This window comes from Homo sapiens, chromosome 8, assembly GCF_000001405.40.
Source record: "Homo sapiens chromosome 8, GRCh38.p14 Primary Assembly".
Taxonomy (NCBI): domain Eukaryota; kingdom Metazoa; phylum Chordata; class Mammalia; order Primates; family Hominidae; genus Homo; species Homo sapiens.
The window spans coordinates 93,495,072-93,508,823 of NC_000008.11; the positions used below are offsets into that span (position 1 = coordinate 93,495,072).

At 40.6% G+C, this 13,752-nt stretch overlaps 2 long non-coding RNA genes across 2 annotated transcripts in view; one reads left to right on the forward strand and one right to left on the reverse strand.

Annotated features, from left to right (window-relative positions):
* Positions 1-13,752, reverse strand: part of CIBAR1-DT (CIBAR1 divergent transcript) — a 353,967-nt gene that overhangs the window by 148,605 nt on the left and 191,610 nt on the right. The gene's annotated exons all lie outside the window — the stretch shown is intronic.
* On the forward strand, positions 910-8,640 carry LOC105375641 (uncharacterized). The gene is made up of 4 exons (XR_928412.4): positions 910-992; positions 1,178-1,224; positions 4,112-4,203; positions 8,553-8,640. It is a non-coding gene; the product is annotated as an uncharacterized LOC105375641 (long non-coding RNA).

A 13,752-nucleotide genomic window follows, 5' to 3' on the forward strand; every position in this document is an offset into this window, starting at 1 on the left:
GGCATGCAAAGAGGTGAGCGAGGGGAGGACGAGGCAGACTCAGGTGGAGGGGAAAGGAAATCTCAGCCGTACTCCCCAGGTGCCATCTACTCGGAGACCCTCAGAAGCCCTCCAAACCGTTCCATCAGACCGAGCCTCACATTTCAGGGTGTAATGAAGGCTGCAGAAGTAATAGAAACATACTTACCACTGTCAAAACGAATCTGTTAACAGGAAAGTTTGTGGCAAGCGTTGGGTAGCTCATATCCGTGAGGAAACTGGTTTCCTATTTAGAGAAAATAGAGCTGTTCTTCTTAAGCAGAGAGATGCCTATTGTGTGGGTAATTACAGGGAGGCCCGGCTGACCTGGCAATGAGGTAGGGTAGCTAAATACCTGAAGGCAAGGGGAGCGTCTGAAGTGAAAGCGAAGGCCCCATCTGCCAGGCTGTAATGATTGTGCTATTTGGAGGCAGAAAGGTTTGTCTGGAGCAGCTGGTTTCTCTCCAAGTGACCTTTTAGCATTTCTGCTTTTGCCGTCTGACAGATGTGTCAACTCAATAATTTCAAAAGCCCCTGAGTAAATAACCAATTGTGAGCAAGGATGACCCAAAGCGATGACAAAATGGCTGCACGCGGCACATTATGGAGCATAATACCGAGTGACGGAACAGGGAACATTATCAGAAGGAAAAAACATTTTCGTCTTTAGTTGGGACTAAATGGCTCTCCTACCCACACTTCAGTTGTTCTTGAAGCGGGGAAGAAAGGGAAATGCGCTGACACGGAGGGACGCGGCGGCGGCCTTGCCCTTGAAAGCCCGCGTTACCGGGCGCGGGACTCAGCTGGCGTCAGGGCGCTGGAAATGGACTCCCGCGCGCTCGCCCCCGCTCTGCCGGAGGACCCAGCCCGGGCTAATTGGCGCTGTGAATGATTCGGGGCTGTGAACAGGCGACTGCAATCAGACTAGGGCTGATGGCGTTGGGAGTCTTGCAGAGTTTGCACTGGCAAGGCAGGTGCGGCCGGGCTGCTTTTATCCGGGAACTAAGCGGGAGGGGGCCCAGAGGCCAACGCTGCAAGGATCTAGTGCAGCAGGGGCCAGAGCTTCAGGGAATAAGATTGCCCAGGATTCCTCGGGGGGCAAGCAGAGCACCCTTGCGTGGAAATCTGATTGATTCACCGTATGCATATTTTTTGCCAGGCTTTTTAAACCCTTCACTGCTCCACTGGAAACACCACCAAACTAAGGTGAGAAGAGCTCCGCCCAGCCCCCTGAGCACTACAGGGCCCCTCCCTCAGTGCAAGACGCTTCTGCAATGGCATTTTCTGAGACTTGGATGTCCAAATATTCTTTCGATTATCCTACATTGAAAGTGTTAGGATTTTCTCTTTTTAATCATTTAATCCCCCCTTTTAAAAATGCATTACATAAATTTACAGTAAACCGAATATTAACTTTCAAAGGCAAATTTTCCATACCTGAATGCCCATCTTCCCAGAGACAAACCGTTATGATGAGAGAAGTAATGTAAACACAAAGAGTGCCGTGCTGGGGAACAGCTCATACCAGTTTGTGAGAGTCAATGTCAAGTTTTCAGGAATATTGCAAACATTTTTAAACCGATAGTACCTTTGAAATTCGTCATCGTGGTAGTATTTACACCATGGAAATCAGTAAACACTATAAATCAGGGCTTTTTTTCTCCTGGAGAGGTGGTTGTTATACATTTACCAGCACACCACTGACGCAGGCAAATCAGAGCATTACCGTACTTTCATTTGGCCGTGAGATCTGGCTTGCTCTCTACTTTACTTTTTTTTTTTTTTTTTTTTTTTGAGACACAGTCTTGCTCTGTCGCCCAGGCTGGAGTGCAGTAGCACGATCTCGGCTCACTGCAACCTCCACCTCCCGGGGTTCAAGCTATTCTCCTGCCTCAGCCTCCCAAATAGCTGGGACTACAGGCATGCCACCACGCCCGGCTAATTTTTGTATTTTTAGTAGAGACGAAGTTTCACCATGTTGACCAGGCTGGTCCTGAACTCCTGTCCTCTGGTGATTCACCTGCCTTGGCCTCCCAAAGTGCTGGGATTATAGGCATGAGCCACCACGCCTGGCCTCCTTTACTGAATTTGTATTGCAGATTCTGCACTTAATTAATGCCAAAGCTGAGGCTGATCAATGACAAAACATTTGCTAATTTGAAAAAGGTTTGAGGATGTTTACAGATTATGGTTAAGTTCTTTAAAAAAAAAAGTATTACCTATACTTTAAAGTAAAAGTACCTCAAAATAACATGCAAAACATCAGCACAGCTCTGATCATGCCTTTTCACTGCTAAAAATCTTCCATAGTTTCCCTACTACTGATCGAATTTTTTTAATTAATTCGTCCATTTACAATTGGCCCCAACTTTTCAGAATTATTTTTTGCTACATCTTTATGAATAGCTCAAGCTTCAGTCTTAATTCCATAAACTTAGTCTGACTGCTCTCCAAAATAAAATTTCCAGTCAATGCTGGCGCATCTGGTCAATAAGATGCTCAGGATATTCCACACACATTCCTGACATTAAGTTTTGCTCATTTATGTGCTTCCTGTCAGAACTACATGCCCCTGTCCTACTACCTACCTAGATCCTGTATGTTCTTCAAAGTCCCACTCCTCTCACAACTCTAATCCATAATCGATTTCTTTTTTCCTATAATTTCCATGACATTTTTTGCTTCTACCTCTCACTTTGGCTCTTAACCATATGACACACTACCTTGACGTTTTACTTTGCTCTTTTCCATGTGCACGCCTTGTCTACTCACATAGAGTATAACCTCTTGATGAACAAGGCCTTTGTATTACATAAGACAGTATAGATCTTCCTCAGCCCCTGGCACAGCACTATTTATACACATAGTAATGCTTAAGACAGTGTTTCTCACCTCTCTGAATCTACAATCTCTGTGGGAGCTTTAATAAATACTGCCACCTAGGCTTCAACCCACAGAGATTCTGATTAAGTTGGTTCTGATTATATTGTGTTAGCAAAGTTCCCAAATAGTTACAAATCTACCTACTTTGTTGCTACCCAGTTCAGAATCCCTGCGGAATTCTCAATCCATGGTTGAGAGCCATGACTTAAAAGATATATGGATGAATGTAAGGAAATAAAACTAAATTGTACAAAATAGACAATTGTTTTACTAGCACCTCTCTTTTTAACCAAGGTAGATTCACAGCTAACTGAAATATGCCATTATGGCCTTTAACACCCGCTATCTGACCATGAGCTCTTTAAGGATGGGGAATAAATTATGTTTGTAGCAACATCCCCATCTATTGAAATGTCTGGAACCAAGCAGATCTTGGGTACCCACAATGATCTCCATTTCATGTCTATCCATTTAGATTCCCGCCCCCCACCCCACCTGCCTCCACCAACCTTGCTGGGAAAAACTTCCAGATCTCAGTTTAGATGAGACCAAAATAATGTTGTTCTTGTGTTTTAAAGTTGTGTTTTTAATAATAAGACAAAAGAATAGATGAGTCCATTTAAAGATGATAAAAGAAAAAAAGCAGAACAATTCTCTTTCTGGTTTGATTCCATTTCTTCTCCGTGAAAGAGAAAGATACTCTGACTACAAAGGACAGAACACAAATCCTAGTAGGGGAGATAGTAAGAGAGTGTCTAACAGCTTTAAAATGTGTTCAAGTCCAGATGCATTACATCTAAGACAATTAAAACAATTTGCAGCTGTTATTGCAGCTGCTCGTGTCCTGGGAAAAAAAAAATCAGAGGGAATGGGAAAATTGCCAGAAGATCAGAGCTAAGCAAATGCCTTAGATTTCAAAAAGAGGGATTTCATAATCTAAAGCCAGATGAGTTTGACTTTCATGCCCAGCAACATTTTAAAATGTATTCTTAACTCGATTATGTGTATGCACTTAGTAGGGAAAGAGGCAATCACCAAAGGCCAGCATAAGGTAGCCAAAAATAATTCATGACAAATTATTTTTATGCGCTTACTATATTAGAAGGAGATGGAAAGAATATTACAGGCAGATTTTATTCAAACACCTGTCAGGATTGATTTAAAGGAAGAAATGTATTGAGTCCCTGCTATGTGCTGTTTACCATAATAGGCCTTTGGGATAAAATGCCAGACAAGACACAGTCGTCGCCTTCAAGGGGATTTAAGTCTAGCAGGAGTGGGAGAAGTTGAAAAGAACACAAGGTCAGTCTTCATGGGGTTCAGCATGGGTGCAATGGGGAAAGATGAAAGGAAGCTCTTAGATGAAGGAAACTCTACTGTAGGAAGTTGGCATCTCAAGGGGATTGGATACATAAAGAGGAATAAGCCAGGCCAAAACATCTGGGAACTGGAGGTGAAGAATGTGCCAGACAGAGAAAACAGGAGGTGAAAGGCTTCAAGCTGACAGAGCGAGGTGGCTTAGGAGGCCGTAGGTAGTTCAGGAAGACTGAAGCATAGACTTCAAAGTGGAGAGTAAGGAATGCAGAGAGAAAGGTAGAAGAAACAGACAAGAGTCCAAACTAAAAGCCATGTTAAGAACTTTAGACTTTACTCTGAGAGTAATAGAGAACCTTTGGAGGATTGTAAGCCAGAAAATGCACATTGATTTCACCAAGTTATTTGACAGTCTCTCATCATATTATTGTGGATATGATGGAGAACTATGAACGTGTAGCAATGAAGGTCAGTTTGTAACTATTTGGAAAATTGTCGCATGAAATGTCAATGTATAAAATTGTTAGCAAGTAAAAAGAATTCTGTTGGCATTTTTCTATGCCCGTTCTTTGATTCTGTTTTATTCAGTGTATTTATCAAGAACTGTGGCAAAGTCTTTTTTACGGACTGCAAAAAGCTGAGAAGGAGGCAAAGTATTGTTGAAACATTATCAAGATTCAGAAAGCTCTTGACAGGCTGGAGCAAAGGGCCTATGCCAGCAAGATAAAATTTTAATCTTCATTTATGTTTTAAAGATAATCTCTTCTAGAAGAATAAAATGGGAAATCCTCACTTTATAACAATTCATGTGAAATTATAAATTCAAGAGTCAAAAACCTGTTGTGCTAAAGACTGTGACCCCCCTTGCTAGGAAAATCAATCACAGACTGTGTGGGTGATATCACTGTGTTTGGCTCTAGATGTGGCAGTGGCTCCAGTAAACACCACCAGCTCACATTTAGGAACTGTGTCCAATTCTAGGTTCAAATACCCAATGTCAAGGTATTTGAGGACCATGATATAAGAAAATGGTAAAAAGATATAACCGAACAGGGATAGAAGCCTTTAATTTTTAAGAGAGTAACTCCAGAGGATTGAAATAGGACCACCAAATGAAAGCTCTATATAAGGAAGACATTTTTAGAAGAAAATAATTTTGTGTCTTTTGTATTTTGTGTTCCTTTCCAATGCTTTTCTATGTAAATAAATATTCTGATGTACTTGTAGATTAAAAAGAAAGAAGGAAAAACAATTTGGGTGGTTGAGGTAATTGACTATAGAGCACTGGATGACAATGAATGTCGAATTTGTAAGTGGAATAGGTGGCCTTGTAGCTTGTAGTCTTCCTACCAATAGAGAGGCTTGTGCCATCTCTCAGAGATGGTCACTAACATGTCTAGTAACATGTCTAGTAATGAACCCAAGATCCTGGAGATGTTCATTCAGTTTGTTAGGAGTATTTAAAGGGAATTTTTACACTGGAAGAGAGGTCTGGCTTTTCCTACCTTGAGATCCTATTTTAAAAATTCATTATAACTACCCCATCTCAATGTCACTGAAGAACTAGAGGAGAATGACTCTTCCACACCAATATTGCTACCTCAGAGTCATTTTTGTCTGCTTTCATTGAATATTTATCCTACAGTTTCAGGAATTGATTCCTTCTTTTATTGCCCATTCTTTTAAAGGATCCCAAACGTCTCTTCCGCATGTTTCATGTTTTCTTAAAATTTCTGACACCTCCATGATGACAGATGTTGTAGCATAAATAACCAAAGATACCAAAGCTTTTGGGATAAGTTTCTTCTAAGGAATTCTTACGTAGGACCTAGTGGTCCCTTTTGTCCATCTTCTTAGTCATAAACCCTGAGCAACCTTCCTTTCCCATGACCATGCCACTCTATCACAAACATTTCAAGAAACAAATATAAAAGTGGCTCTCCACTCACCTCTGACCTCTCACATGGAGGCTGAGTTCAAGCACAGCCACTGGTATCCTTCAAACATTTGCTGGGGCCACCCCTTTCCTACAACCCCAATCCCACTACTCCAAACTCTACCTGTGCCAGCTCTACAGCCTGTCGCTTCCAGAGTCCTCTTTGTTTGGAAATTGTCAGTGTTCAAAGCTACTGACAAATTTATTCTGGCTTTGAGGATGACTGTCCCATACCTATCACCTTGAGATTCCCTTATGTTATGGACTATAATACAATCTTCCAACACTTTTTTTTAAAGGGCTTCAGTGTTTAACCTCAGTCAGACCCTGGGCCTCTTGCCTTCCTCCTTCTGTTTTCTTGCTTGTACTTCATGTTCTTCCAAGAAAGTTTACTGAATAATGCTGCATCTAATCTGTCTGCGTTTTGTCAGATTCTGTTGTCTTCATAAAATCCCCAAACTGGCCCCAGCTTAGATCACAACAGACTTTTCTTTCCATTATTACAACACTCTTAAACTCTTCCTTCTCCTTGAAATCTCATTTTACAACCCTGCCACCACCACACATACACACACATGCAATAATGCAACTTCACTGAAGAAAAACTAGTCTTTTTTCAAAAGGTAATGATGTATGTTCTATTTGTTCTTTTTCTATTTGCTCCTCAATCCATTGCAATCTGGGTTTCTGCCATGGTTGTTCCACCAAACTCACCCTCACAATGGTCAGTAACATCTACTGGTTGACAAATACAATGGACACGTTCCAGTTCAATTATTACTTTATCTCCCTGCAGCATTTGTCATTGTTGACTGTTCCCTTCTTTTTTGAAATTCTCTTCTGCCTTAAGCTTCAAGGTTTTCCTCATGACTGACTGACTCTTCTCTTTAAGTTTTCTTGTCTCTCTCCACCAGCCATTTAAAAATTGATCTTTACCAAGATTTGACTCTCAGAGCTTTACTTATCTCACTCCTCAAGCTGTCCCTCGAGTAATCTCACCTACCCACAAACTTCAACTAACACTTACAGATGATGACATCTGACCTCTAGGCTCACTTCTGTGCTTGCATATGCTCTAAGCTTAAGACTTCAAACTGACAGAAACTCACCTCATCAGTTTCCTTGCCCTCAAACCCTCAAAAAAATTCAGGAGAAAAAAAATCCTTTCATCCTTTCATGAACCTAAATTATCTGGGTGTTGTTTTTTTTTTAATTTGGCTTCACCTTTCCACCCTCATTTTGATTCTGACAATGATGACTAAGATGCAAAATAACAGAATATTATATACACACTTGGCAATTAGAGACTAGAAACTCTGTTCTAAAAAGGTGATAAAAATAAGCTTAGTGTTTTTTAGATTGCTACAGTTATTTATTTACTTACTCATTTATTTATTGAGACAGAGTCTTGCTCTGTCACCCAGGCTGGAGTGCAGTGGTGTGATCTCGGCTCACTGCAGCCACTGCCTGCTAGATTCAAGTGATTCTCATTCCTCAGCCTCCTGAGTATCTGGGACTACAGGCATGTGCCACCACACCCAGCTAGTTTTTGTATATTTAGTAGAGACGGGGTTTCACCATGTTGGTTAGGCTGGTCTTGAACTCCTAACCTCAAGTGATCCACCTGCCTCAGCCTCCCAAAGTGCTGGGATTACAGGTGTGAGCCACCACGTCCTGCCTCCTACAATTATTTTTAAAATAAAATTAAAAGGGTGACTATAATTGTGTGTAGTTGCCAATCAATATTTCTAATTTTTTGATAAGCAAAAACTTGGACTCTGGATTGGAGCAGACATACAAAACTCTGGGAATCCAGATGTTCTGTTTAGAAAGAGATTTGGGGTAACACGTCTTGCATTCTAAAGCTCACTAAATTCTTCCTTCTATCTTGGCAGGTTACATGATGAAACAATACAAGCTGCTGTGTTTCAAAAAAAAAATCTTTAAAGTTGTCCTATTGCTTTTTTGGTAAACACAGGTGAATTTATTGTTTGAGGTACTCTTCTTCCTTGCATAAGGGGGTCTAAAACTCTTCATTGTTAAGGTCAGAGTCTTTCCTCTGCTGGGAAGCCTCAGATGCAGACTGCCACCACTAAAATAAGTCATAAAACAGAAATCCCAAGCCAAGACCACATAAGCCAAAGTATCATGCACCCAGCATATGTACAGAGCACAAACCTATTATTTCACACCTGGTGCAATGCCAGTGGAGATTCTAGAAGCACAGAATTAAACTGTTATTTTTGACAAAGTAGTAGTATGTGTTGGCATTCAGTAAATTTGCTTGAAATTCTAACAACTTCCCTATATAGAATATCTACCCACCTGACATTTTTTCTTTATATGAAATCTTATAATAGCACATCTGTAATAACATTTCCTGTTTTCATTTTTTCCCCAGGAACACTGTTGACTCCCACTGTATAAGAACTACAGTGCATCTATCTCCATTAGCATTGTCACACGGGTTTTATAAAATCATATTACAAAATGTGGGTCAGTGATCACTGAGTCATGTAATTTATCAAGACAATACCCAGATGCGCTGTTTGACATTCGTTTTGCAGGGATGCAATCTACTGGTATAAACAACTCTGTAATGCCTACCATTCTTCAGAAGCAAAGGCCATTTACGACTAGGGGGAAAAAATCAATATCCAGAGTTCCACTCCCTATCAAATATTTAATGTCTCAATGTTTTATAAGATAATATATCAGTGAAAACTGACAGGACACTTTCCGTTGATAACACATCATATTTTCAGCTTGACCCTCTAATGGTGTCTCTAAATTTAGACTTTTAGAACCAAAAAGGACTTTGTCTCTTAGCCCAAGCCCCTGATTTTACTAAGAGGACACTGAGATACATAGTACAAGACTGAAGAACAACAAACTGGCCCAGTGGTTAGTGATAAAGTCTAGAACTAAAATTTCCCTGGTCACAAATTTCGTAAATACCAAGTTCAGTTCTTTTCAAATCTTGCATATTTCACTCTCTTTCTGTTTCCTTCATCACACCATTAGGATGGAATTAATTCCCTAATGTTTATATTACATTTAATTAAATCAACATTTTTAAAGTACTTGCTCTATACTAGGCACTGCAATAGATATTGGAAATAGTAAAGGTGCTTCTCTTCCATCAAAGCAGGACTTTCAAGAGCGATAGGAGATAAGACACAAATGTTCCCCATTATCCCACTGACAAGTTCCTCCAACTCATTCACTGGCATCTTTTCCTCTGTGGCCCCTTAAAATCTTATTCTCTCCTTGCCCACTTTTTCTTATGACACAACCCAGTCTGCCTCATTATTTCATTGCTTACAAGATGTTGGCTGTGAACTACCCTGATTAGTCTGAAGCATGTGTCTCCTGAGTCCTGGTCCTCTGTCCCCAGGCATCTATTGCATCTCCATCGGTTGTCTCACAGGTTTCTTAAGCTCGCACATCTATAAGTGAACACATCCTCTAGAACCCCTTGTTAGGGTCCTTATTGGAAGTAACAGTCATAATTCCATTATGCAAGTGCCCTATTTAATTTGTCCACTGAGGTATCTGTCTCTCCTACTATAGTGTAAACACCTTGGAGGCAGGTCTCATGTGTTTTCATCTAGGTAGTCCCAATACTTTTCTTGAGACCTAGTGAATATATAATAAATATTTATCAAATGAATAAACAAAACCATTGCCTAGGGCTGGGCATGGTGGCTCATGCCTGCTAATTCCAGCACTTTGGGAGGCCGAGGCAGGCAGATCACCTAAGGTCAGGAGTTTGATGCTAGCCTGGCCAAAGTGGCAAAACCCTGTCTCTACTAAAAATACAAAAATTAGCCGGGCATGGTGGCAGGTGCCTGTAATCCCAGCTACACGGGAGGCTGAGGTAGGAGAATCGCTTTAACCAGGAGGTAAAAGTTGCAGTGAGCCGAGATTGCGCCATTGCACTCCAGCCTGGGCGACAAGAGCAAAACTCTGTTTCAAAAAAAAAAAAAAAGAAAGAAAGAAAGAAAAGAAAAAGAAACCATTGCCTATGTGTTGCCCAAACCAAAATCCTGAGTTGTCTTAGAAGACACATGCTATATTCAATTACCTGATAAGTCCTAGGCATTTTATTCTCTTAAATTTCTCTCAAAACCATACCTTTCTCTTTATAAAAAACACTGCCCTGGTTTAGGTTTAATGATCTCTCACTCATATACCCTAAATGTTCTCCCTACTTCCAGTATAAACTTTTCCCACTCCATCTTATGCATACTCATAATCTATTTCTTAGTTGCTTACAATCCCCCAGTGCTCCGGGGAAGGAGTACAACATATAGCATCTGCTGTGATCTTGTCCCTTCCTACTTATTCATCGCATGCTCTTTTCTAGCCTTGCAGCTCACATTCCATCCATACCAAATGTCCCACATTTCCCATTGTATACGGTGCTCCCTTGCCCAGAATGTATTATCCCAGTTCCCCCCGACAAACTTTTACAGCAGTTGTCAAGATGAAAGCTTATCTCTTGATTTCCTCCAAGCAAACTTCAAGGCTCCTTCTTGACACATCCAATTGTGCCTTTTACATATTTTCATTATGGCAATTGTGACATAGAAATTCCTGTCTATATGTCTTTGCCCCTGCTGGAGTTGACACATAGAAGGTATTCAGTAAATATTAATGATTATTTTATAACAATACGCACAGATTACAGAGTGCCCCAATGTCACTAAATTTCCCCATGTATACTTTAAATCAAGACTTCACTTTATGTTGGTTTGTTCACTTTAGTATTACTAGATGCAATTTGTGCCTTCAATATGTAGTAGACTGAACAAATAGTGGGCAGAAGACATGATCAAAAAACAGGGCCTTTGTGCACACCCAGATCTATCTTTCCACTTGGAGAAGGATGACAAGTAGAGAGAAAAAGAATGAAAGGAAAACAGAAGAGAGAGAAAGGAGGCATATATACATTAATGCCAACATAATCCACTCCCCCTCATTTCTACCATGGTGACCTTCATTATTTTTCCGGTCCCTTTAATGTCCTCTATCTTGTCTGCTTTCCTATAGCTACCAAGATACACCAAATCCATAGATTATCTCCAAAACTGCTTTTTAACAAACAGTTTCAATCTTCTGTTCTCCAGGTGGTAAGAAGTGGCTAGGAGGGAGCCTAATACAATCATTAGAACTTGGCCTCTGCTATCCCTCCCTGACCCATCACCTTCAAGCATGACTCCAGCAAGCAGTGAAACTTCAACATTCCATATCATCAGATCTTGACCCATGAGGGGAGGTGCTGATGGGTTAGAAATGTTAAAGTTTTCCATCTCAGAATTACATTTGCACAACAAGGTCTACATTGATGCTACCATGATAAAAGCAACGAACATGTCTTGAGAACTAAGAATCACGCACAGCAATATTCTCTTTGATAGAAATCCTTCATGAATCACAAAGAAGCTGTAGGTTCTGATATTTTTTAAAGCCAATGATGTAAACATGATACCAGGACACTCATTTTTATCATTTTAAAACCGTTTTAGATTGTGGTCCAACTTCAAGCTGAAGAATGTAAGTCACTTTTCAAGATACTTTTCATGTCCTGCATGAGAACTTAGAGCTTAGCGGATTTATGCAAACAACTTGGAGGCTAAATGCAGTAGTCCGAGCAAGATGTGTGTGCTCTGCATCCATCATGTGGTAAGATGAGTTTCCCAGGCTGACCTCCCTGCTTGGATACTCTTAAAATATCAGCATGCAAATAGTCTAAGGTGGACCTCCAACCAACACTGTAGTCAACTACAACAGTGAATGTTTAAGCAAGGTCTCAATTACATAATTCATTCACCCATCTCCATAGGGACTCTACTAAAGATGTTTACCCTCTGAGTTGAAAATTGTGCCATGTTGAAAGCACGGTAGACTCCCTAGCTCTGATGTTTAGACAGCGTCAGCTGTAACCCCAGTCACTAAGCAAGAGGTTTCATGAATTCATCATTGATTACATTCATTGGATTATTTTTCTCTTAAACACAAATTAAGACCACAGGGGAAATGATAGTTCTGTTTCTTGTTGCTTTCTCTTCATCAGATGAAGGAAAAGGGAAACAATTAGTTAAGAGGGAAAATGAAGAAAACAGAAAGTGATTATACTTGTAGTCCTCTAGCCAAAGGTAGACCCTTCAAGAAATGCACTCAATGGCTTTCAGATAGGGCTATACAATTGGCCCCATCCCCACAGACACAGATAAACCTGGATCTCAGTCCTTTTCTGTGTTTCTTACTAAAATATGGATGTCTCAAGGGAGAAGCTGGATGGGTGGGAGTGAGGTTTGTGTTCCTTCATCAGAAATGTCATTGCTGCTCTCCTGAAAGTGTCCTGCTTTTGCTACATCTGCCTTAGAGCTCTGCTCAGCCCTCTTTGTTGCCGAGGCATCAGCTTAGATTATTATTCTGACACACCATCTCTGCAAACCCAAACACATGCTCAGTGTATTTGAATGCTTCTGAGAAAAAGCACCTCAGCCTGGCAGATGGAGATACATGTCCAAAGATGAACGAGCTGCGTAGACCAAACTTGTTGTCAAAACCCCCAAAACTATAACACCAGTGACTGCCTTGGTTGTTAATATCTGAAACTATGTAGAAATGTGTGTGGCTGTAGCCCAAAAGAAACAAAAATCAATATACTTCCTTGTATATTTCTTGCAACAGCAGTCAGAGAAGTAAAGAATATTCAGTATGGATCTAGGTGGGCTACTTACAGATCTTCGCACATTCTTACAGATTCGCATGATATCATTCTTACACATTTGCATGATATTAAAGACAAAGTCATGAAATGAAAGCAATGTGTTTGAAGACCTTTTTATGAGGAGTAAAGCTAAAGCACTTTCTCAACATGCAACAAACATATGCGAAGTACTGTTTATATATAGCCAGACTGCTGCATCCAGACTGAATGTCAAGCACAGTGCTGGCCCCCTTGGCAACATACTGGTGAACAAACAGCTTAAAGGCTGGCAGCAAAGACAGATAATAAAACAAGCAAATAAAGAGTGTCGAAAGTTATAACAGAAAAAATACACAGTGTTGTGGCATCAGGGGCCTAAACTAAGTATAAAAGATCTTTTCGAAAAGGTGATGAGATCCAAAGAATTTCAACTTAAGCTTCCTGTGAGAGCTGCTTTTTGAAGTTTTGGTATGGATGGATAGATTCCTTCCACATAAATTTATGTCTTTAAAAAAATTAACAGTTTTCAGGGACAAAAAAGAAATTCAACCAGAGTCCACACAATTTTCAGGGAGAGAGGGTCAGTCTCCACCCAGTCAATGTTAATTAACACTGTACGGCAACCCTTCTCTCCATACTCACTGAATGGCATCCCAACCACCAGTAGGCAGCAACCTCTTTTGTCCTCCTGGGATCAATCTCTCTCTCTCTCTCTCTCTCTCTCTCACACACACACACACACACACACACACACACACACACACACACAATTTCAATTAGGCACTGCAAGAAAATGATTTTGACTGGGGACATTGGTCATAAACATGCTACCAGAAGAGCTTCCTGCCTCAGATAAATGTCAGGACCTAATAGGTACAAA